This window comes from Homo sapiens, chromosome 6 (assembly GCF_000001405.40).
Source record: "Homo sapiens chromosome 6, GRCh38.p14 Primary Assembly".
In the NCBI taxonomy this organism is placed as follows: domain Eukaryota; kingdom Metazoa; phylum Chordata; class Mammalia; order Primates; family Hominidae; genus Homo; species Homo sapiens.
The window spans coordinates 82870007-82894905 of NC_000006.12; the positions used below are offsets into that span (position 1 = coordinate 82870007).

Here is a 24899-nt window from a genome sequence, read left to right on the forward strand (position 1 = left end):
TGAATTTGGACAACACGTGGAGAGGAGGAATCCAAAACAGAGACCCTTCCCTTGGATATCTGCATAAGAATGATTGTCCAATGTTTAATGAAAAAGAACATGATATTGACATCAGAACTCCATTCAATAGCATATGTAGGTATCATATATATTTACATTTTTAAAAAGGTATAGCAATATATATTACTCTCTATACAGGGAGTAAATTGATTCTGAATGAATTATTTTTATATCTTTATAAAAGTATAAGTTAAAAATCCTCCATTGTCAACTCTAGATACATAAAAATTTCAGTAAATGTTTTGGTAGGAATCATGAAAAACCAAATGAATAGTCCCCTTGTTATAGAATTATATTTCAAATAGTGCTTTAATTGTGTAAGCCAATTAATATTCTCCATTTCATATTGTATGTTGCACTATTCTATATTATACTGAAAAGTGACAAAACGTTCTTGCTTTTAATCATTTTAAATCATATGTTAACATTTTCTCTTGTTCAAATGAGATTTTTTAATCCTCTATGTATTCTTTGCAAAGTATCCTAGTGCCTGAGAAATTTTTTGTTATTGCCAAAGCATGATCAGAAAGAGCAATCGTTTCACATTATATTTCATAGCCTCTGTTCCTTTTAGTTTATAATCCTATTAATTCTTTTGGGTCTATTTCCTTTTCTGTCAATATTTATACTTCAAAGTTAGCATACACACCTAAACAAATACATTTCAGTTCTCTTTTATTGCAGGCTGATAGAAAATGTGATGGCATCATTACATTGTAAACTCCTGGACTGTAGTAACCACAACTTAGTAATGGTGTCTACAGAGTATTGGGTGCATAAAAGGTGCTGAGTAAATATTTGTTTACAGAATGTTGGCAACCTCTATACTTAATTTTTAAAAATAGTAATAATAATTAACATTGCCTGAATTAAGGTAACAAGTATGTTTGGCATCATGCCAGATTTAAAAATACTTGTCTTATGTAAGCCTCATAACAACACATTATTTCTATTTTACAAATGAGGAAATTAAAATCAGGAGAGGTCAGGCACCCTACTCAAGATCACATACAATAAGTGACAATAAGCGATGGAGTCAGACTCCATCCCAGGTGTATCTAACTCCAAAGCCCATCACTTAAAGAGTACACTTTTCTGGCCTCTCAACTTACCCTAAGCAATTGCTAAATACCTTTTTGACCTCATCATTCCTTTTCACATTTTTTTGGAAGACATATACATTTACAAATTTCATTTCCCAACCCTTGTCTAATTCACGTCTATACTACTGCAAGGAAATTTCAGATCTTACCCTGTATGCTCATTATTTATGGTTCTTCCCAGTAGTGTGCTGGTAAATGTTAAACAATCAGTTTGGGAGAGTGGGAGAGAAACCCTGATCTATAATGCTTGCCTGATTTCCATGATATAGATACTGCTGCCATGGATGATTTCAAGCTACAAACATGATGTCGCTGAACAGAATTGGAAAGAGATATCCAATCTCTCAGGTACAGCTTTCTGTACCTGGGGCCTGTGAATTGTAGCATACCATCAGCTCCTTACCATATTGGCTAATATGAAGTTGAAAAAAAAAGCATTAAAAAATTAAAATCCTCCCAGTTAGGATATGCTTTGGACAAGTACCCAGAGATATGATCTGGCTGTGTCCCCACCCAAATCTCATTTTGAACAATAGTTCTCATAATCCCTGTGACATGGGAGGGACCCAGTGGGAGGTAATTGAATCATGGGGGCAGTTACCACCATGCTGTTCTCATGATCCTGAGTGTGTTCCTATGAGATCTGACAGTTTTATAAGGGGCTTTCCCCACTCTTCGCTCAGCACTTCTCCTTGCTGCCACCATGTGAAGAAGGACAGAAGGACATGTTTGCTTCCCCTTCTGCCATGATTGTAGTTTCCCAAGTCCTCCCCAGCCAGGTGGAACTGTGAGTCAATTAAACCTCTTTACTTTATAAATTACCCAGTCTTCGGTATGGCCTTATTAGCAGCATGAGAACGGACTAACATACCTAGTAAACACACATTTGTTTTAAAAACTTTGAGTACTGTTTGGTGAATTAAATTAATTTTCACTCTTCCATAACAGTAGTTCTCAAACTGTGGTCCCCAGACCAGCAACATCAGCATCACCTGGGAATTTATGCAAATACAGATCCTTGAACCTACTCCAGACCTACTGAATCAAAAAACTTGGTGGTGATCAAGGGAGGTCAGCAATTGTTTTAACAGGCATCCAGTGATCCTGCATGCTCAAGTTAATGAATGACTACTCAGATGTAAAAATCTCTTTTCCATTTCAGCCCGCAAGGTAGAGCAAGTCTAACAAGGGAGAGTCCAAGGTCAATTTTAATGAAAAAAAAAGTGGGGAAAGTCAAAGTTCTGGCAAGTAAGTGTGTAATGTAGACTGCAGAGAAGAAAGGTCCTGGCCCAATTATTACTCACATCTGAGTCAGGAGAAGTGTGTGTAAAACCTACCTGAAGAAAAGCCCTCCAGACCAGAGAAGAAATTTGCTGACTTTTGGAGACTCATCCCAGAAACAATGCCTTAGTAGGTATCAGAAGAGAATGGACCCAGTTGGAAAGCTTCACTCCTTAGCATACGTAGCTAGGGGACCTCTGTGTTTTACATAAGTGAGTTAAAACACAGATTTTCTACCTAAACACCACCTGGAATAAATTTTTTCTGCCTACTTCAGTAGTTCACCTGTATTAGATTCTTCTGGTGGGCTTGTTACAACACAGATCGCTGACTTCCTTTCTCCTTGCCTCTCCAGCACCTGACAAAGATTCTCTGTTTCACCAAATTCCAGTCAGCCTCCTCTGAACTCTCTTCTCAATGAGACCCTGGCTTTTAAGCTTCTGTGTTTGTTTCTGCATTGTCCATGTTAGCAAGAATCCTACTAAATCAGTTTAACTAGAATTCTCCACCCTCCAGATACAATTACCCTGAATATCTGATCATCCACCATCGCCTAGGTGATGTCTGATCACCCTGGCCTGCCTTCTGCAAGAATCCTCTTAGGTCCCTTTAGCCAGAATTTCCCCTATTCGTGATGTTTCCTCAAGTAAGTTCCCATCCTCTGATCCCTTCCTGCTCCTTAGCTACTGTGATGGTTAATATTGAATGTCAACTTGATTGGATTGAAGGATACAAAGTATTGTTCCTGAGTGTATCTGTGAGGGTATTGCCAAAGGAGATAAACATTTGAGTCAATGAACTGAGAGATGCAGACCCACCCTTTATCTGGGTGAGCACCATCTAATCAGCTGCCAGCACCGCTAGAAGAAAAGCAGGCAGAGGAACGTGGAAGGACTAGACTGGCTGAGTCTTCTGGCCTCCATCTTTCTCCCATGCTAGATGCTTCCTGCCCTTGAACATTGGACTCCAAGTTCTTCAGCTTTTGGACTCTTGGACCTACATCAGTGGTTTTCCAGGGGCTCTCAGGCCTTCAGCCACAGACTGAAGGCTGCAGTGTCAGCTTCCCTACTTTTGAGGTTTTGGGACTTCCTTGCTCCTTTTTGCAGACGTCCCATTGTGGGACTTCACCTTGTGATTGTGTGAGTCAATACTCCTTAATAAACTCCTTTTCATATATACATCTATGCTATTAGTCCTGTCTCTCTAGAGAACCCTGACTAATACAGCTATAAATTCCCACTCATCCTTATTGTATTCGGAGTTGAGCCCAATCTCTCTCCTATTACAAAACCCTGTTGTAGTACCTTCCTTTGAATAATGTCTGTCTTACCATCTTTAACAAGGGTCATGGTACAGCTTTTCTCTAACACAGCCCACCAAGTTCCTAATTCAGTAGGGTGGGGTGGGGCCCAGGAATTAGCATTTATAACAAGTTCCCAGTGATGCTGCTACTGGTCTGGGAACCACACTCTGAGAATTACTGGCCCTAACTACGTTTTCTAAGTTCTGTATAGTGTTCTTGAGTTGTTAAGGAGCTGTTGGATTTTGCCTCGGGGGCTGTTCTGATGGGTGTTAGGTGAGGAGATGTGTACAGTGGAGCCAGCAACAGAAAAACTTTCATTTTGGCCGGACCATCACTGCAAAGCAGAGACGGAGTTTAATCAGAGCCATAATTGTTACACTGCTTAAGAATTCCAATTTTCTCTAGTGTATCTCATTTTACTGTGAAGAGATATTTACTGCAGAAAATTTTTGTAATTAAAGCATGTAAGTATAATCAATTTTGGCTTATGGGAATGCTTTTCTAGAAATCAAAATGTATACTGGCATCAATGTACAAATATTCCAGAAACCAACATTAAACAATTTATGAGGTATTCATTAATATTCTAATACATTATTTTCAGCATCTCATTCAGGAATGAGCTGAGGCTTTCTCTGTGAAGATTCAGTGTTCCTATTACTGAAATGTCCCAAATGTAACAGAGCAGTCAGTACAACCTGTCTTCCTCATTCTGCTCCTAACCACATAAATAACCAAATAGTATTCATTAAGTTTGCAAATGGCATCACACTGGGAGAAAAATTACCATGAAGGAGAGAAAAAAAAACCTTAAATACCACAGGACCTTGATAATTTGGAGCAAAGGAGAGAAAATATAACAAACATTATCAAAGTGGAGTACTTACATTTAAAGAGAAAATCCAAATTACAAAATAAAAGGAAGGTCATTATACGTGCAAATTTGCCTCTTATTTGTTCATCTATTCAGCAATTTATTATTGAGCACATATTATGTGCTCTGCTCTGGGGATAGAGTGGTGAACAAAACAGACATTGTTTCTCACTCGGGGAACTCACAGAACAAGGGGGGACAGGGGCCTTAAACAAGGAAATAAATAAAAAACTTCCAGTTGTGATAAGTGTTTTGAAGGGAAAAAGCAGAGTAATGTGGAAAAGAATAATTGATATGTGAGAGAAAGAACTATTCAGAGTAGAGTGGTTAGGGAAACCTCTCTGAGATATGAGCTGGAAAGCAATGAGAAGCAATCCGCTTTTGAAAGAAGACTGTTCCAGACAGAGAGGGCTGTCTAGACAGAGTGAATAGCCTGTGCTGAGTCCCTGGGCAAGAAAGGTCTTGGTGTTTTCCTGGAACTGAAAGGAGGCAGGTGTGGCTTCAGCGTAGTGGACAAGAGAGATTGAAGAAAGATATGAGGTGGTAGAGAGATGAGAGCAAGGAGAGAGAGACAGATGAGGCTGGAGAGAAGGTATTCAGGGTAAATATGGCTCACGAGCAGAGTAACATTTTCAAGCAGGAGTTGGCAAACATTTTCTGCAAAGGTCCTGTATTGGTCAGGGTTCTCTAGAGGGACAGAACCTAATAGTATAAATGTAATATATAAAGGGAAGTTTATTAAGTATTAATGTACGCAGTCACAAGATCCCACAATAGGTTGTCTGCAAGCTTGAGGAGCAAGGAGAGCCAGTCCAAGTCTCAAAACTGAAGAACTTGGAGTCCGATGTTCGAGGACAGGAAGCATCCAGCATGTGAGAAAGATGTAGGCTGGGAGACTAGGCCAGTCTCCCTCTTCATGTTTTTCTGCCTGCTTTATATTCGCTGGCAGCTGACTAGAGGGTGCCCACCAGATTAAGGGTGGGTCTGCCTTCCCCAGCCCACTGATTCAATTGTTAATCTCCTTTGGCAACACCCCCACAGACGCACACAGGATCAATACTTTGTATCCTTCAGTCCCATCAAGTTGACACTCAGTGATCACAGGGCCAGAGTTTAGGCTTTGCTGAGTCGTAAGGTCTCTGTCACAAGAGACCTTACTGAATTCTGCAGTTGCAGCACAAAAGTAGATACAGACAATACTTAAATGAATACAGGTAGCTGTGTTCTAATAACACTCAAATATTTACCAAAACAGGCAGTGGGTGGACTTGGCCTACAGGCCAAATTCTTTCAGTTGCCAACCCCTGAAAGAATAACATCGGGCACAATACTATCCTAGGAAACATAAGTAGGAGCAGGACACTCACCTTCCAGATGAGTCAGCATTAGTCAGACCATCACTGAATGAATGTCTTCCTTGGGCTCCACACTTAAATGGCATATGATAAAACTCTCGTAGGTTCTAAAATAGTGATGATTAAAGGTTTGGAAAACTGGCCAAGCAAAAAGTTTAAAGGAGCTGATGTATTCAACTTGATCAACAAAGAAGAGGTAATAAAATAGTTTTCACATGTTTTAAGTGTTATTTTGCTAAAGATTGTCCAACTGTTTATATGTTCACTGAGTGGAAAGACATGAGAATTGAAGGGAAGTGAAAAGCGAGACATGAGAAGGAAATGGAACTGGAAGAATATAATGACCTGACAAGGTAAACACCTGTAAACAATGGGCCCCACTGGCTCTCCTCTCTGCCTCCATGGCAGACTTTTCTGTCCAGGAGTAAAAGATTGTTTTAATCAATGTGGGTTAATATACCTCATTTTAAAGGAACACCATAGTGTATAATTTTATCAAGCAAATAGTTGCCCATAATTAGTCATCTTTAAAACATCACATTTTCCTTTTTTTTTCCAAAAAAAAAAAAAGCCATATTATATTGATCAATTACTATAAGCCAAGTGTGCTGGGCATTTGACATGCATCATCTTGTTTACTCTTCACAATACTCCTAGGAAGTCAATACTATCCCCATCCTCATTTTACTAAAAATGAAGTCAATGCTATTCTTATCTTCATTTCACAGAAAACTTAGACTAATGTTACTAAGTAATTTGTCCAATGGCAACTAGCTAATAAATGGTAGACCCAATTAATTTTATTTTTTAGTGAGGCATAGTAAATGAGGAACAGCTGTATTTACACTTCTTTTTAAAATAGCACTGAGTAATATTTATCATAAGATCTCTACTTTTTAAATCAAGAAGGACAAAAATTAGAATGCACTTTTGACTAAAGCCAACCTAGCTTATCCACAGCTCTATAAACAATAATTTCTACTTATTGTCTACCTGTGTTTTGTGAAGAGGCTCAAATCTTTGAAAACTCTATAGATTCATTTTTCTAAGCTCTCTTAGTGTCTTTTGCAGTATTTAGAGTTTTACATGTCTTTAAAAAGAGGAAGCCTGGTTATTTTATCATTTCTTTGATAGTTCTGATATCCAAAGTATTTGCAGGTCTGTTTTTGCTGTCTTTTATTCTGTTGGTTCCTACTCTTGGGTTGTTATAAGCTGCTCATTTTTTTTCAGAAAATTTACTGTGAGACTTCTTCGAGGCCTAGGATAAAGGCATATTCCTCCAGAGAGGACTGGAATTTACTTCTGCCAAGTGCTAGAAGGCACTACCACTTCAAAGCCAATTTAAACAACATTTACAACCTGTGGTTTTATTGGACTGCAAATCTGGGAGGCTAGGTTGCAAATCTGTGTCAAGATTAGCTTGTGGTAATATCTCAGGGATAGCTTTCCCTCTTTCTGTCACTGCTTGGTGCCAAGGTAAACATCCTTGCACTCTCTTGGAGGAGGGTATGAGGTGAATTCTTTTCTGACTTACCCTTATAGTTTGAGGTAGTAGCATTATGAGCAGATGGGTCTTCTATTAACCAAGAGCCATCTGCCCTTTGCTCTTGGCTCCTGGGAGAGGATCTCTAAGCCCTTGGAATGTACTGCCCAATATGAATGCCATTGTGTACCTGAGAGCCTGGTCCACACCAATAGCCTAATGATGTGATTTTGAGTTGGGGCTGTGAGTCACATGGTATCAGCTCGAGCTCTAGAAGGGCTGGAAACTAAAGGTCAGTTTTAAGGCGGGCAGCCAGGTCTAAGCAACTGAGCCCCAGTAAAAACTGGAAGCCATGGCTCAGTTGAGCATCCCTGGTTGACAACACTCTGTGCACATTTTCTCACATCCTTGCTGGGAGAAGTTGGCACTGTCCATGACTTGGCTGGGAGGGGCCAATGGAAGCTCCATATGTGGATTCTGCCCCGTGTGTCTCTGGCCTTGGCAGATTTTAATCTGTATCCTTCTGCTATAATAAATCACAGCTGTGAGTATAAAAGCTTTCAGTGAGTTATGTGAATCCTTCTAGCAAGGTTTCAAGTTTGTGGCTATCTTGGGGACCCCAAACTTGTAATTGGTGTCAGAAGTGAGGGTGGTCTTGGGGACTCCCCTACCTCTGCAGTTGTTTTCAGTAGAAAGTGGTTGCTTCAGTGGAAAGGTGGTCTGATTACCCAGCCAGCCACATAGAAATGGAAGAGTCTGTAGTAATTAGGAGATGCAACATTTTCCTGCCTTTAGCCTGTGTTGCATATCTGTTTCACCTAAGTTGAGCAGTATGACTGAACTAATTTTAATTGAAATGTCAGAACAGGCTTTTATGAAATTCAGATGTAGTCAAATGTTGACTAGATAGTTTCTCAATAAAACAAATTTTATCATACGTGTATGCATCTATATATAAATGTAACATATACATTTATGGCTACATGTGTGTGAATATACCTAACAAAATAGCACTGGATTGAGAGTCAACAGATGTGAATTACACATATAGTTCTGATCCTGCCACTTCCTAGCAATGTCAACTTTGGTGATTCACTTAAATTTTTTGAGTCTACCTCCTCATAAACCCAGTCACCTAGGTCAGGGGTTCTCAGTGGGGATGATTTTGCCTACTAGGGGCCATGTTGGAAATTGATGGGACTACTTTTGGTTGTCGTAATATTTGAGAGTGCCATTGGCATTTGGGAGAAGCCAGGGATTCTAAATTTTCCACAATGCACAGCACAGCACTGCCCATCAAAGAATTGTTCCACATCCCTCACAAATATTGGATGTTTTGTCAGACATTCCTATAGGTGAGACAGGTTTTTATAATTATCTGAGCCCAGAATCTAATTTCGTTTTATGCAGAAAAACAAAGTATGTTTTTGCATGATTTTAATACACATGGAATTTTCCAGATTTACAGCTACCATGTATTGAGGGGAGATTTCACTTTGTTTGGATTGGCACTTTCCCTGGGATGCCGCCAGAGTGAGTCACTGAGACCACCCACTTGTGTGAGTCTGCACGTGCAGCTGCACATGTGTGGTGTAGGCATAGACTGCTCCCCAGGTCTTCCAGTGTGGTCCTAAACTGAGCATTTCCATATTAAAGTGGAGAGTATTTATTATAAATTACTTTCATTTCTCCTCTGTGTTGTAGCTAGTGCATTATGTGTGCCTGTAGGTTATAATATCTGTGGAATTAATTTCAAAAGAAATTAAACTTATTCCTCCCATCTAACTGAGGCTTTGTCCCCTTTGACTATCATCAGTTTGATTTTTTTTAGATCAATACTACAATATGGTGAATATGGCTAATAATTGAGTACTGTATAGTTCTTTTTTCTTTTTTTTTGAGATGGAGTTGCACTCTGATGCCTAGGCTAGAGTGCAGTGGTGTGATCTCGGCTCACTGCAACCTCTGCCTCCTAGGTTCAAGCGATTTTCCTGCCTCAGTCTCCCAAGTAGCTGGGATTACATGCATGTGCCACCATGCCTGGCTAATAAATTTCGTACTTTTAGTAGAGACAGGGTTTCATCATGTTGGCCAGCTGGCCTCAAATTCCTGAGCTCAATTGATCTGTCCATCTTGGCCTCCCAAAGTGCAGGGATTGCAAGCGTGAGCCACCATGCCTGGCTAATTTTTGTATTTTTAGTAGAGAGGAGGGTTCGCCATGTTGACCAGGCTGGTCTTGAACTCCTGACCTCATGTGATCTGCCCACCTCGGCCTCCCAAAGTCCTAGGATTACAGGCATGAGCCACCACACGTGGCCCAGTACTGTATATTTTAATATCACTAAAACAATAAATTTCAAATGTTCTTATCACAAAAAAAGTGAGCTGAGATGATGGATATATTATTTCACTTGATTTAATTATGGCACATTATATTAAAAAATGACATCACTTTGTACCCTATAAATATATACAATTTGTCAATATATAATTTAAAAAATAATATCTATGGATTTTATTCTGTGTGGCATCCTAGTATCCTGTCAGATTTGCCCCATGCCGATTGCACACACACAAAGAAAAGTAGAAAATGATTTAAGATCCCCTTTTTATGAAAAAATATCCACATAGTTAAGAATATGCCAAGGTACATAACTCTGTAAACTTTCTTCCTTCCTTCACTTCAGTTAATTAGCCTAGTTTGGGCTTTGTGCAGTAAAAAGCTCTGGATATGTTTCTAAGCCACCCTGTTCCATGTGGCTTCATAACTACCTACTCCTTCAAGATATGGTCTCTTATCAAGGATGATCTCCTGGTTCAGAGAAGAAAGGGGCCATTAAGTTCATTTTCAAAGGTAGCCTCTACTCAGGACCAAGTGATTGTGTCTTCATTTCAGCAAAATGCATTTCAGTAGACTTACTACTAAGTAGTGACATCACACTAATGAATAAGACCAGGTCATTCATCATAAAAGTCTTATAGTGTAACTGGGGAGAAAGTCTTCAACCCAAAAGGCTGTGACATAATGCAGGGAATGTGAGGTATAAGCAAATGCTATGGGGGACCTGGGGGAGTAACTCATTCGACCTGAAAAAATGAGGAAAGGTTTTAAGAAGTGGGATGGGTTTGGGCAGAGGTGTTTCAGGCAGGGGCACTTCATTAACAAGGTGTGAAGAGGAGAATAGAAAGCATGAGGGAGGCCTCAGGGGAGTCTGGCTAGCATGCTCCGAAAGTTAACATCAGTGAGGAATTGTGGGCAAAAAGGCCAGAAAGATAGGTTAGGACCTGTCTTAGTCAGCTCAGGCTGCTATAATAAAGCACCATGGACTCCATGGCTTACAAACAATAGAAATTTATTTCTCACAGTTCTGGAGCCTGGAAGTCCAAGAGCAGGGTGGCATCGTTGTTGGGCTCTGGTGCAGGCTCTTTCCTGGTTTGCAGATTGCTGACTTCTTGTTATGTCCTTATGTGAGGGAAAGAAGACAAGAGGGCTCACTGGAGTTTCTTTTATAAGGTCTCTTATCTCATTCATAAGGGCTCTTCTGTCATGACTTACTTGCCTTCCAAAAGGTCCCACCTCCTAATACCATCTCATTGAGGGTTCAGATTTCAATACATGAATTTTAAGGGGACAGAAACTTTCAGTCAGTTGCAGGATTCAGTTGTGGAGGACCTTGAAAGCCAGGCTGAGAGGTCTGGAGAGAATCCTGCATGTATGAGGGAGCTATGAAGTTTGGAGGAGAGTGACATGATCAGAGTCCTGGTTTTGGAAAATTTTCTAGCCAGCAACTGCAGGATGCATTGGGGCTAGGAGGATGTAGGGAGAAAGGGACTTTGGTAAGTTGGTAGTTGTGACAATGTTGCCAGGTAGGAATATGAGGGTGGGAAGCAGAGCAGAAGCAGTCAAACTAGAATAAGAGGACAGAGAGAGACTCACAGAGGAGGAGGATTATGAGGAGGGGCTGTACCTTGATTCCAAGGGTTCTAGCCTGGGTGCCTGAGCATCTGGTGATGACGCCATAACCTGGATACCACCTTCAAGGGGAGGAAGAGATAATGAGCTTGGTTTTTAGATCAGTTGGATTTGAACAGCAGATACTAAGTTCATATGGAGATGTCCAGCACACTATTAGAAAAAGAGGCTGAGTGCTCTACAGTTTCCAGAGTATCTATCACTTCTCTACTGCTTTTTCCTCCTCTGAAAAAAAGGCCCTCTTCTCTTTCTCTGTCCCAGCTGAAGGCTATAGATAGCACTGTGATTAACAGTTCATGCGGAACTCAGCCATTCTGGAATCACATAATATTTCTGCCTCTCTCTAGCTGTATGACCTTAGGTAAGTTATTGGATTTCTCTAAGCCTCATCAGTTTCCTCACATATAAACTGGTGATAACTAAAGTATCTTCTGTATAATGTTCCCACAAATAAATTAATTAATGCCAGCTAATACCTGGCATATTGGAAATGCCTAAAAATATCAGCTGTTAGTAAGCCAAATTATTTACCATTCCACGAACACACCCAGAACTTTCCTTCCTCCCGTCATTTGTCCCTGCTGCTGCTCTCCACTTACAATGCTCTCCAAAGGAACCGATTCCCTACTGTTCATCTTACTCTGTACACAAGATCCTGAAATCCTACTTACTCTTGACTCTAGGAGCCAGGGTTTGAATTTGGAATTATCCATGAGATTGGAAAATCTTGCACCCTCACTGTGATGATTAAAAAAGGCTTGACTGGCTTAGAAGGGGAAATCCAGAGTTTATCCTATTACAGCAAATACTCTCAAGCTGTAGGGCTTTCCTAAAACCTTTTAACAGAGGGATCATATAGCAAAGCACCTCACCAAAATAAAGGCTTTATCGGAATATAAAAAAGGAGAAAAGAAAAGTTTGGGAAACCCCAAACAAATGTGATAATGTCTAATGTTTGCTACTGTTTTTTTGTGGACAATTGAATACTTGGCACCTCTATTTTGGATTCCTCTTTGGCAGCACTTTCCCAAGCTAAAAAAGCTACCAGCCAGTTCTTCCCGGCTACCTTCCACCTATGCTTTGTTTTGGCAAGTGTAACTTGCCTGAGAGCTGCAGAAATGCTACTCTGCACAGAGCTGATGCCAGACTGGAAAAGACATTGTTCTCTGTAAAATTAAGATAAGAGATTTTGAAGCAGAAGGGCCCATCTGCTTCAAACTATAACTTTAACAATGTTTTTAAGTTATCTGAAACAGTAGCTCAATGTCATTCTTTGGGTTTCTACTTATTACAGTATCTTTCTTCTGTTTTAGAACAGTTCCTATAGCAATATAATGAAAATAACCTTTTTTTTTACAGCCACAAAGAGAGAACTATAAATTATTCCTCACCCTAGTTTCCTTTCAGCACATACAAAAGCCAGTGCTTGCTCCGCCCCAATAAATCAAAGCTTCAAAAAGGGCAAGGCAGCTAATCAGAGAATGCAGCTTCTACTAACTAGACAATAAATTTCTGTGTCTGTCATCTTTGGAATTAATAAGAGATAAATGGCCACTTTACACAAAGTTTCCAAACCAGGTCAAGAAACAGTCAGGACATAGAGTGGACTTGTAAACCTGGTCATTATATTCATCTAAGACCATATAATCTAACAAGAAGTGAAGGTTCATCTGCATTTTACACATGAGCAAATATCTTCAATACATTTCCTACAGGACAAAAGACTTCATCGTTTTATTTTTGAAAAGTATATTTTCAAAAAAGAAATAAATGTTTTTAGTCTGGGAGGAATAAGGAAAATGTCTCTTAGAGGAAGTGATATTGGAAATAAATCTTAAAGGATATAGAACCTTTTAACAGCCAGAGAGATTCATAAACATTTTGTAAGAATGGATTAACTCAAATCGATCATACCCTATTGACCCAACTTCTCTAGTTTTCCAATATGAATGTCCCCAGTAGAGTAATTAATGAAGCCAACATTTACTGAATTCCTTCTCTGCATTAGGCATCGTCCTAAGCACAGGATTAAGAAGATGAATAAAATACTGGACCTGACCTCAAAGAGCGCCCACGCTTCAAAAAGTTCAACTGTTCCTTAATTTTATTACATAAAATAAAACACAAGAATCATTATAAACTGATTCCCAAGTTTAGTTGGAAGCCCCACCTGAAAGTTTTGTTCCACAGCAATTTTCTCAGTAAAATAAAATCGAATGACCTAAGATAAAGAGAAGACAGCTTTCCCAGGATAGAAAGGAGTTTCAAAAATCACCTCAATCTAATATACTTTCACCAAAGCCATAGTCCCAAACTTAAAGTTGGTAATGCTACATAACTGCTTTAAAACTAAAAGAGAACAAGAATGGTCAAAGCTTGTGTTATAGCACTTCTATAAAGGTAGAATAGGCAAAAAAAAGTAATTAAATTTTAGTCCCAGGTTGAACCCAAACAGTGCTAACACCTGAGATTTCTGCCCTGAATCTATTTATGTGCAGGACCAAGAGAACTTCTGGGAGAACCTCATTTTGGAAGAAGAGATAATTCTGCACTTGGGTTTGGTTCAGAAATGGTGTTTTAGCATTTGAGTATATGGTACTCAAAATTTGTTTTCAAGTCTAGCCCCTGGGCTGGGATGATAATTTCAAATTTTAAAACATTAAAAAGAGCAGCTTTCAATTAGAAACTATAATTATAGGCACTGGGGTGCAGGGAAACACCCATTTTGGGATCTGTGTTACAAAGAGCAACACATGGTGGAGAGGATCAACCTTCTCCTTCCATCTATACCCTAGACAGTGAAACTTTGGCTTATTGAAGTTTCCAAGACTGTTTCACTCTTTTGCTCCATTGGAGGCTTCCAGGTAGTAGAGGCACCTACACCTCATATGGGGCAGCAGTGGAGATCATCAGCACCAAATGATGCTGGAGAAAAAAAGGAATAAAGTGACAGATGCCATGAGGTAAATGATGCATACGGGCACTCCAGAAGGCACCCTAGACATAATTAGAGAGTATTTTGCAGGGAGCGGCAGGACTTTCAATAGTAAGTGAGGATAAGAATCAGATAAATAGGGTTTATTCCTGCTCATTTCACCTCATTGTCTACTCCCCTATGTTTGGCTCCATACACACAGGTTACTCAAATATTAGATCCTAATTCATTTCAACAATGTGTTGAATTATTCTTTAAATAGAAATAAAAGTGCTCACTTATCTGAAATTTAGTAACATAGTCAACAACTTCTTTCCCATCATGGTATTTCAGGTGGAACACTGAGATTTTACACTGGGGTGATCCCACAGCATAATTCTGAGAAGGAAAATGCATGGGGAAATACGAATGGAAGGGAGGAGGACGGGTTCACCAGGGAAGATGATTTGCCTTGTTCTCCTGAGAACCAGTGACACTGAACAAAAAGATTCCCGGTACTTTTGGAAATTACATAAAAAGTAAATTGAACTTTAGTCCAGAGGGCATCCCTGTCAGATGCGTGGTCAGAAACTTCTGTGCTGGATTCCTTTCCTCACTTAAAGATTTTTGCAAAAGCTTTTCTGCTTGCAAGAGAAGATTCTGAAAAAGATCTCATTTAAAAATATCTGTATGAAAATGCTTAGAATGGGTTGTCACGTCCCTTGTTAGAGCAAAGCTGACTGGAGATGGAAAACTATGTATTCCGTTGTATCTTTAATGGCCTTCACAAATAATTAAAAGTAGAATAGAAAAAAAAAAAGCACTGACAAAGCTATTTGGTCAAGACAGTTTTTGACAGTTTTTTGGAATTGGGAAACCTCTCCTTGTTTTGCAACAAAAGGTCTTTTCTTCTTCTCCTCAACCTACCTTGTGCTCTGCAACCAGATTGGTTTTTCTAGTGCATCACTTTTATGTTATTCTCCTGCTTAAAACTTCAGAAAATCAATTCCATAGGGGATGACAAGGAGGGGTGGCAGACCAGCAAATTCATAGAATAATCACTGTATCTAAAATGTATTGCACACTGTGTGCCAGGTGCTGTTCTAGACATTATGCATGCATTAACCCATTTAATGCTGAAATAACCCCTATGAGACAAATGCTATTTTTTTACCCCATTTTAAAGATGAGCTTAAATAACTTGCTCAAGACTGCACAGGCGGCATTTCAACCCAGGCAGGCAGATTCTAGAACCCTCTCACTTTTAACTACCGCATCTACATTTTAGAGCTCAAAAAGCCCTCAAGGGTACAAAAAATATATATTTTCTGTTCTTGTTGTGCCTGAGCACTGAGAAGTCAGGAGGAAGGGGATTGTTCTGCAGGTTCATGATGGCATTCAAAGCTTTCCACAATCTGACAAGAACTCTTTCCTATCTTATTCACAGTCCAATCTCAATTCCTCCAATCCAGCCAAATGTTCTTACTATTTCAAAGTTTCATTCTTCCAGAGTGTCTTATTCTTCCCATCTTTCCAAATCTTAATAATCACTTAAGGCCCACATAAAATCTTGCCTCATCCAGACAAGGATGCCTTCTCTGTCCATTGGGAGGGCCCTCTTTGTACTCCACAACTGCTGGGGTCCACACCAGCAGTTTGATATCATCACTCACTGCTTTGCCAGTTTCTCTTGTGTGTTTTTTCTCACCTCCATTCTTAATTTTACTTTCATACAAAGCAATCTCTAATGACAGTACTCATTTCCGGAACACTTTATGTCTGTGTAAGGAATACAACCACTGTGGCAAAACCACAGGTGGTAGCCTTTGCTTACGTAAGGCAGCGGTCCTCAACCTTTTTGGCACCAGGGACTGGTTTTGTGGAAGACAATTTTTCCATGGACCTGTGGTGGAAGGGGGATGAAACTGTTCCACTTCAGATCACCAGCCATTGGTTAGGTTCTTATAAGGAGCACGCAACCTAGATCCCTCTCATATGCAATTCAGAACAAGGTTCACCTCCTATGGGAATCTAATGCCACCTGATCTGACAGGAGGCAAAGCTCAGGCAGTAATGCTTCCTCACCCTCCACTCACCTCCTGCTGTGTAGCCCAGTTCCTAATAGGACACAGGCTGGTACTGGTCCATAGCCCGGGGGTTGGAGACCCCTGATGTAGAGAACATCCTTGGCTTGATGGAATAAAGGGAAAAAAGTAAACACAAGCATTGAAACTTGCTCTTCTAAAATTGCCAGGAGCAATTGTCACGGGATTGGAAAGATACGTAGGAAATGTGTTTTCTTTATCAAGTTCTCTTTGTTTCCTCTAGTGATTTTTAACACACACATTTCTAACTTACTGGTGATTTCATTAGAAATTAAAAAAAGTTTCAACTTAATTTTCTCATGATATCAACAATAAATGTCTCTTGCCTGTGCTAGACAAAGTGTCTATGCTTGGCCACTATTTCGTTTCTTCTTGACATCATCACTTTTCAGATGGTATTGAATTGAAATGTGGAATTTTATTTCAATTCTTTTGTTACATTATGAACCTTATTTCAAGAATTTTTTTAACATTGGCACTAAACAGAGTATGTATAATCAAATGAACAATTCAGAGAATTTATAGTGCCCTATATTGAGTTTATTATTCAAAATACTGGTATTTGGGCCTAGTGCAGTGGCTCATGCCTGTATCTCAGCACTTTGGGAGGCTAAGGCGGGTGGACCACTTGAGGCCAGAAGTTCAAGACCAGCCTGGCCAACATGGTGAAACCCTGTCTCTACTAAAAATACCAAAAAAAATAAAAAATAAAAAATAAAAGCTGGGTGTGGTGGCAGGTGCCTGTAGTCTACTTGGGAGGCTGAGGCAGGAGAATCACTTAAACCCAGGAGGCAGAGACTACAGTGAGCTGAGATTGTGCTACTGCTACTGCACTCCAGACGGCCACAGAGCAAGACTGTCTCAAAAAAAAAAAAAAAAAGGGAGAGAGAGAAAAAACAAACAAACCCTGTATTTGGAGGAGACAGTAACAGTTTTTTTTTTTTTTTTTTTTTTTCAGAAAGAATAGTGGGCTGGGCGCGGTGGCTCACACCTATAATCCCAGCACTTTGGGAGGCCGAGGCAGGCAGATCACTTGAGGTCAGGCGCTCGAGACCAGTCTGGCCAACATGGTGAAATCCCATTGCTACTAAAAATACAAAAATTAGCCGGGCGTGGTGGTGCACGCCTACAATCCCAGCTACTCGGGAGGCTGAGGCAAGAGAATCACTTGAACCCAGGAGATGGAGGTTGCGGTGAGCGAAGATGGCGCCACTGCACTCCATCCTGGGCAACAGAGAGATACTCCATCCCCCCAAAAAAAAAGAAAGAAAAGAAAAGAATATTGGATGGTATACTTTCTGAGTCCAATATGTACTACTATGGAACTTAAAACTAATGATGACTAATTTTGTTACTTATATCACCATCCTATGAAGAGAAAGTTTCAAGTGAAGGGGTCACACAGTGATCAACCCCAGAGTGTGGGCTCAGGAAAGGGAGCACAGGAGTGATCAAAGCTGGCATTTCTGGCTCTTCTTCCTAGAAATGCTATTACCTAGGAAGAGGGGAAGAGGGTGTGGGAAATGTAAGGGGAGGTACAGGTCTGAGAGATCCTTTTCACCAAAGACTGGTTCCTTTCTCTGGTTTCCAGTGAAAAAAGAGAGAAGATTCCACCTTTTTTTTTGTGGGCACTTATAAGGCGCTTTCTATTTACAATTTCTTTCCCAGTTTCAATCTGCAGAAAGCCTGCCATGTCCTTTTTAGGCTGGGAAGGGTACTGGGCAGAGGGTGACAAGCCCTGTTTTCCTTGAGTTTAGGAAGAGTTCAGCCAGAACCTCCATATAGGCAATCTACTGCTGCTACTGCTTGAAATTAAGTTAACCACTTGTGGTGTTCATGATTTAGGTTTTTTTTTTTTAAGCAGATTTATTGAAATTTGCAACCAAAACACAAATAGAGTGCATACAAATTATGACAATAAAAATCATTTTCACCTTTTTTCTAAAATAAGTAATAAAATAGAAAATAGTTTTAATCTATGAAATGTTAAAAAGGGATCAAATAAAAATATTGAAATATTTATAGAAAGAAAGTAATCAGGCTTTGTATAATAGGGGAGAAAGGTGAATAAAGAAAATGTAGTCATCTGGCCAGCAGTTGTCATTCTGACCAGAAAGGCTGCCAAAGGTCCCAGGAAGGCTACTAAAAGACACGACTAGGACACAAATCCTGCCCTCTGCTTATTGTACCTTGTAACCAAAGGATCCTAGAATAAGGGTGGCCTTGAAAATGGGTTTCATAATTTATATGTAATGGTATTGAGAACAAATTGATTTAGTTTATTCCAGAATGGAAATAGGGACATATTTTTAAAAGAATGGTAGTACAGTTTAGATGTTTTTAAAAATGTTGTTTTGAACAATTATGTTTGTCATTCTTCTTAAAACTGGAGGATTTACCTCTTATGACTGATTTCCATTAACTCCCTCTTACTTTTTCTCCCAGATTAAGTTTTGATGATGAGCTCTGATTCAGTAGATGAAATCTCAAATATATCTTACAATGTACAATGTATCATAAAAGGTAAAACCTATCTTAAAATGTAAAAGCATCTTAAAATGTAAACCAAGAGAAATGGTTACATTAAATCATATTGAGTGGTCTTGTGTATTTAAGATTTAAGAATGTGTAGAACTCTTAAATAAGCATCTAGTGGGACACACTCCTCTGATGGGTAACACTAATGGTGATTCTTCTCTAACTATAGACTAAGATGTACCAATCATTCCTACATTCCTGAATAACAACGAAATGTGGATCTCAATTAATATTTGTTATACATTAGGCGCAAAAACAAATGTACAGGAACAGCAACTAGGCTGGCTTTATCATGCAAAAGGAAAACTATTTAACACTGTCAGCACTTTTTACAACAGTGGCTACTGAGCAGACTTAATTACCAAAAGGCCTGCACAAGGCCAGTTACATCAGCATGTCTGGGTCTAATCGGATTCTTTTTTCTGGTATCTATGGAATCAAACACGCTTTGCTAATATCGGTGGATCCTTGTTTAGTCAAGCTACTTTTGGCAAAATGATGCAAGGCTGCAGTTTGCATGTGATCTGTTGGCCTTTAACAATGCAGCTCTTGATGGAATTGAATTATTTTAACCATATATGGTACTATACAGTATACATACACTTTAAGCTCATTTCAGCCATCCCTGTCTGAAATAGCACCTAATCTTTCTTAACCCATCTTTGTCTTATTGTGCTTTGCAGAAATTATATATAGTAATTTTATGATAAAACATAGTACTTCTATTTTTGTCTGCTGCCTCCATGAGAATGTAAGCTCGATGCGGGCAAGGACTTTGTCTTATTATCTCTATCTGCAGTACCTGTAACTATGCTTGAAATGTAGTAGATGTTCTAAAAGTCCTCACTGAATGAACAAACCTATATAGGTTTGCCAAAATGAGTGGCCGACAGAAGTTTTCAACAGGTAATTTTACTGTAACTTTATACTAGATAAAAACAAGTTCACAGAACCACTTGTTTACAGCAGATTTTAGAGACATAAAAAAGGGACTAGAAATTTGGTGCTTTACTAAGAGGTCCTTGGTAACCAATGCATGTCTGCATTCTGTGGTATCCTTATCTAAGAATACTACTGAATAGATTGTGGAATTATACTCACCAGACAGAGGAGGCTAATGTGGAACAACTTCCAAGGGTCAACATTAATATTGTACAGCCTGCTTCAATTCTGTGTAGCCCTCCCAGCATGGTTTAAAATGAAATTTAAATGTCTTTAATGCTATCCCTGTGTCTCTTTGTTTCTGTGCATGTGTCTCATACACACCAATTCACTCACCCACAGCAACAAAAAGATAGAAAGAGCCATTTCCCTTTTCCCTTCATGCCCTATAGCCCCAAAGTAGACTCTCACAGGTACAGACATGTTACCCCTCAGACCTACCCAGTGACTAGATGTAAATAACTCACTTTGAGCACGGGCATAGCTGTGCTGGCCCTCCCTTCCCAACTGTGGAAGATCCAATGGAGACCTGTTGAGCTTGGGAACTTCACCATGACAAGATTTATGTGATTCATGACAGATGCAATTTAAAGCAAAGTAACTATAGTGTTGCCAGAAACCTGCCCTTTGTGTGCATGTGTGTGTTGCATGACCTCCTCTTACATCTGTCCCTCAGAGCTTCTCATGGTCATGGTCATTCCACCTCCACTCCCCACACTATGCCATCAGAAAGAAGGCTGGCTTGGTTCCTCCTAAGGCCCAAGGAAGAGGTGAAATGAGGGTGTCTCACTACATTTGACTCAACTCGATTTTATTAGGGAGGCAAGGTTAGAAAATTAGAATATTCTTCTAGTTGGGTTTTTTTGAGCAGTACAGAGTTATCTGTGCAATCACAAGCACCTTTAGGATCTAAATCATAAACATACATTAGTATGGTAGTATGGCCATTGCTTTTTTCCAGAGGGAGAAAAACTATCTCAGAAGAAAATTCTTTTTTATGCACAGGCTGAACTCTGCTTCATCTAATTTATTCCAATTTCCAACATTAGACCGATACAAACTGAACTCTAAGAAACAGTCACACATAAAGGCATTCACCACTAATGTATTCATTTGTGAAAAAAAAATAGCATACTAAGCTTAGGCTACATGCCAGAAAAAGATTCAGATTTTGTAATAATCTGTCATGGGCAATACACAACTCCATAGACAGTCACCAAATCTTGTTTCTCAGGCCATATCTTCCATAGCAGTGGTTCTCAGCTGGAATTAATTTTGTCAATCACAACAATATCTACAGATATTTTTGGTCAACACAACTGGAGTGGAGGAGGGGGCTGTGCTAATGGAATCTAGTGGGTAGAGGTCAGGGATGTTGCTAAACATCCTTCAATGCAGAGAGCAGTCTCCCACAAAAAGAATTATCCAGACCAAGATATAAACAGTATTGAAGCTGAGGAACCCTGCTGTATACTGACAGATAGGAATCTAAAGCATGGAAAGTCAGCATGATGTTTGGGAGTCTAGTAGCTTAAGTGAAGCCAAACTAATTCTCTTCTGTGGCTGTGAGTCTTGGATGTATCACTAAGAACTTCAACGTTTCAAACTGTGCTTCATAAAATGACTCTGCAGGATCAACAGTTGGGTATTATTCCTATGTCAGTCTACAAGTTACAGAATTAGGAGTGCCATACCACTGCTTTGCTAGTAAGACAAATGTTTTGGTTGCACTACCAGGAAGAAGAAATCATGAAAAGTACACCCAATCATAAAATGCCAAGTGACACCTGTGTTAAGAATGTTAGAGGCCAGGCGTGGTGACTCACACCTGTAATCCCAGCACTTTAGAAGGCTGAGGTGGGTGGATCACCTGAGATCAGGAGTTCGAGACCAGCCTGGCCAATATGGCAAAACCCTGTCTCTACTAAAAATACAAAAAATTAGCCAGGTGTGATGGTGGGTGCCTGTAATCCCAACTACTTGGGAGCCTGCGGCAGGCAAATCGCTTGAACCCCAGAGGCGGAGCCTGCAGTGAGCCGAGATCTCCAGCTGGGCAACGAGAGCTAAATTCCATCTCAAAAAAAAAAAAGTGTTAGAAAATTTGCGGATAGAAAACTCAGGGTTTTTGAGGCAAGATATATCAGGTGGTCTGTGGAGATTAATGCCAATTGAGCAGCAAGGATATTTGCAAATCCACAGACTGTCCTCCTGATCCTGGAGTAGGAAAGGAGGATGTCAGAGAGAGATGGATCAGATCTTGGGCAGAGGAGATGGACATGCCTGGCTCCAGTCCCAGCTTTGATCCTAGCTGTGTGATTCTAGGCAAGTCTCAAACGTTCCTTGTGAAATTAGGAGCTAGCGTGTACTCTGTGGGATTCCCTGTAGCTCTATCCTTCTCACTGAAAGGTTTCCTCACCGCTTGTGCTGGTACACAAAGAATAGAACAACTCTGTAACGGGATGCTAGTGAGGTATATTTATTAATTTGCAATAATGTATGGTAAAGGAAATAACAAAAGAAACATGCAGATTTGCATAAATAGGAAATCCTTTAATTTGATAATCATTCATTCAACAAACATCTATTGAGCATCTCCTCTGAATAAAGTATAAAATGTTTTCTACTTTTCTTTTTTAAAATTTGTTTTAAATCATCCTGAGAAACTCTTTAAAAGTTTATTTCCTAGGATTTACAGCAGTTAACATTCAGTTCCACCAATAAAATTCCTCACTGGATTCCACACAGGACAGATGGATCTCCATTAGGTAATAACCTTCCAGGTGGTGCTGACACTGCACATATGTGAATATTCCTCTCTGTGGGAAATAGAGATGTAACTTCTACACTTGCCTCAACCTGCTACTATGACTTTCTTCACAGTCCTGGGTTTTCAAAGATCTAAAGTTAACTCTTCTCTTAGAGAATACATGCAAACAAGTAAACTTAAAACTTCAATGCAATGCTCTTATCCCATAGCTCTGGTTCTTGTCTTTGTAATTGATGCCTCCTGAGCTGACTGCTGGCCTCGGTGTGCTCCTGCTTGAGAGCTGTCTGCCGGGGGAGGAGAATGCCCAGCTCTAATAGTTACATCTTCAAAAAGGCCACCTGGAGAAGGAAGAAAAACCCACAATGCTTTACTTCTATAATATGACAAAATGGCTGCATGTACATCAAATCAGAATCAGGTTAAGTCTGGTCAATAAGATCATATGCTTGTTTAAACAGAAAAATGACTCTTAGTGGATCTAGACATTTTATTTTACAGCAGGAGCCAATTAGTCTTTTTTTAATGAACCATATAGTAATTAAGATGATTCACACGCATTTTAAAGGAGAAAAATAGAGTTTTAATTGAAACTAAAGTTATATTGCTACGAAGTAATCCAGTCCTCATTTCCATCGATTCACAACTATTGTTTTGGACCTTCCATATTTAGAATTCTGAGTCTCATTCCTAGGCGATTCTGGGTCCTCATCCCTATAGGTAATTATACCAGTCTCTCCTAGGTCATTGTGATACTTTCACTTATATTGGTTGGTCAGCAGCAATTCATCTTAAAACCTAGAGTTAAAAAAAATTAATTCACACAGTCTTACGAACAAACTATTTTCAGACTATGTAATGAGGCCTAGATCAAATGCATCTAATTTCCCAATAGTTTTGAAAACAGAAACAAACTTAACAAAGTCAATCATAAATGTTTAGAAAGGTTTAGTTCAGGGGTGACAATAAATTGGGAACTGTGCCAATATGAGGAAGAGAGTCAAGTATAGAGCAGAGATAGATCGTGAAGTATGGGAGGCTTGGGAAGCTCGTATTAGGCGTGAGCAACAGAAGTAAAAACATTCTACTCTTGGGGAAGTATGGGACATCTGTCAATTGCATCAGGAAATTTTGTCCTTAAGTCCCCGAATGCAGTAAAAAGAGGTGTGTATTTAACTATTCTGTTAAAAGAAAAGGTAAAGGGAGGGTCACACAGGGCAGAAAGCATCTGCTTTATGCTGAGTAATTCAGAAGGATGTTACCCTTCATACGGTGCTGGTGAGAAAGGCACCTGCTGAGTTTCCATATCAACTTCCTGCTGAGTTTCTCTATCAAGAGAACACCAAATTGGAAGGAGCAGCAAAGAGGAAAGGTTGATTCCTAAACAAAATGTAAACATGGACAATTGATGCAAACCTCAAGAGCTTACTGTGAAGCTCAAATGAGATCATTGTTAGTTCAAGCTGCACCATTTTGTAAGCCTCGCCCCCACCCCCCCAACCATTTCATAGTCCCAGGTCAAAGTGAAACGTTCCATGGGGGTTCGGACCATGAGAAACATCCTGCCCAACCACCTGACTTTCTTATCATACCCTGCCAGGCAAAGGCCCAACTGAAGGAACATTGCTATCATATCTTGCTGGACAAAGGCCCAAGGAACATCCTATGACATCCCACTGGAAAAAGGGCCAAACCGCCTGATCATAGGAACATCTTATCAATATCCTGCCGGGCGGTAAGCCATACTGCCCAGACCCCTCCCACCCATACCTATAAGTACCCCAGCCTGTAAGCAGCGGTGGGCTCTGGCTGGCATTAACTGGTCCCCCACCTCTGCAGGTCTTGTGCTGCACATAAAACCTGCATTTCTGTAGAGCCGCCAACTCCCTCTGTCTTTAACCCTCACCTTCCCTTCAAAACTTAATAATAATGATTAGGAAAATCCATGTGTTTCCCCTGTCTCTCAGCTGACAAGAGATATTAGAAGCCTGTGAATATACCAGATGAGAAGAGAGGCCAGTAGAGCCTGTTATAATAGACAGAGGAAGGAAGACCAGAAGTCATTGAGTCTGACTTAGGGCTCACTGTGGGCAGCATCCCTGGCAGGCGACATTCTGCTTCTACATAGACAGTTTACAGGGACAGGAAGCTCACAACTGTACAAAGAAGACAATGACGCTGCTTATATTCAAACATGAAGACGA

The 24899-nt window shown here is 39.9% G+C and overlaps 1 protein-coding gene across 11 annotated transcripts in view; it reads right to left on the reverse strand.

Annotated features, from left to right (window-relative positions):
• Nucleotides 1-10795: 10795 nt before the first annotated feature.
• UBE3D (ubiquitin protein ligase E3D) overlaps nt 10796-24899 on the reverse strand; it is a 185040-nt gene continuing 170936 nt past the window's right edge. For 7 of the 11 annotated variants that reach the window (NR_146809.2, NR_146808.2, NM_001304437.2 and 4 more), the window contains one exon: nt 22384-23036. Coding sequence is in view for 8 of the 11 variants with exons in the window: in NM_001304437.2 (NP_001291366.1) it covers nt 23016-23036 (21 nt within the window). In the remaining 3 variants the exon portion in view is untranslated. Of the gene's footprint in view, nt 10923-11427; nt 11495-22383; nt 24076-24899 lie in introns of those variants that run through there. The other 4 variants (XM_011536238.4, XM_047419505.1, XM_017011458.3 and 1 more) reach the window with 3 other exon arrangements.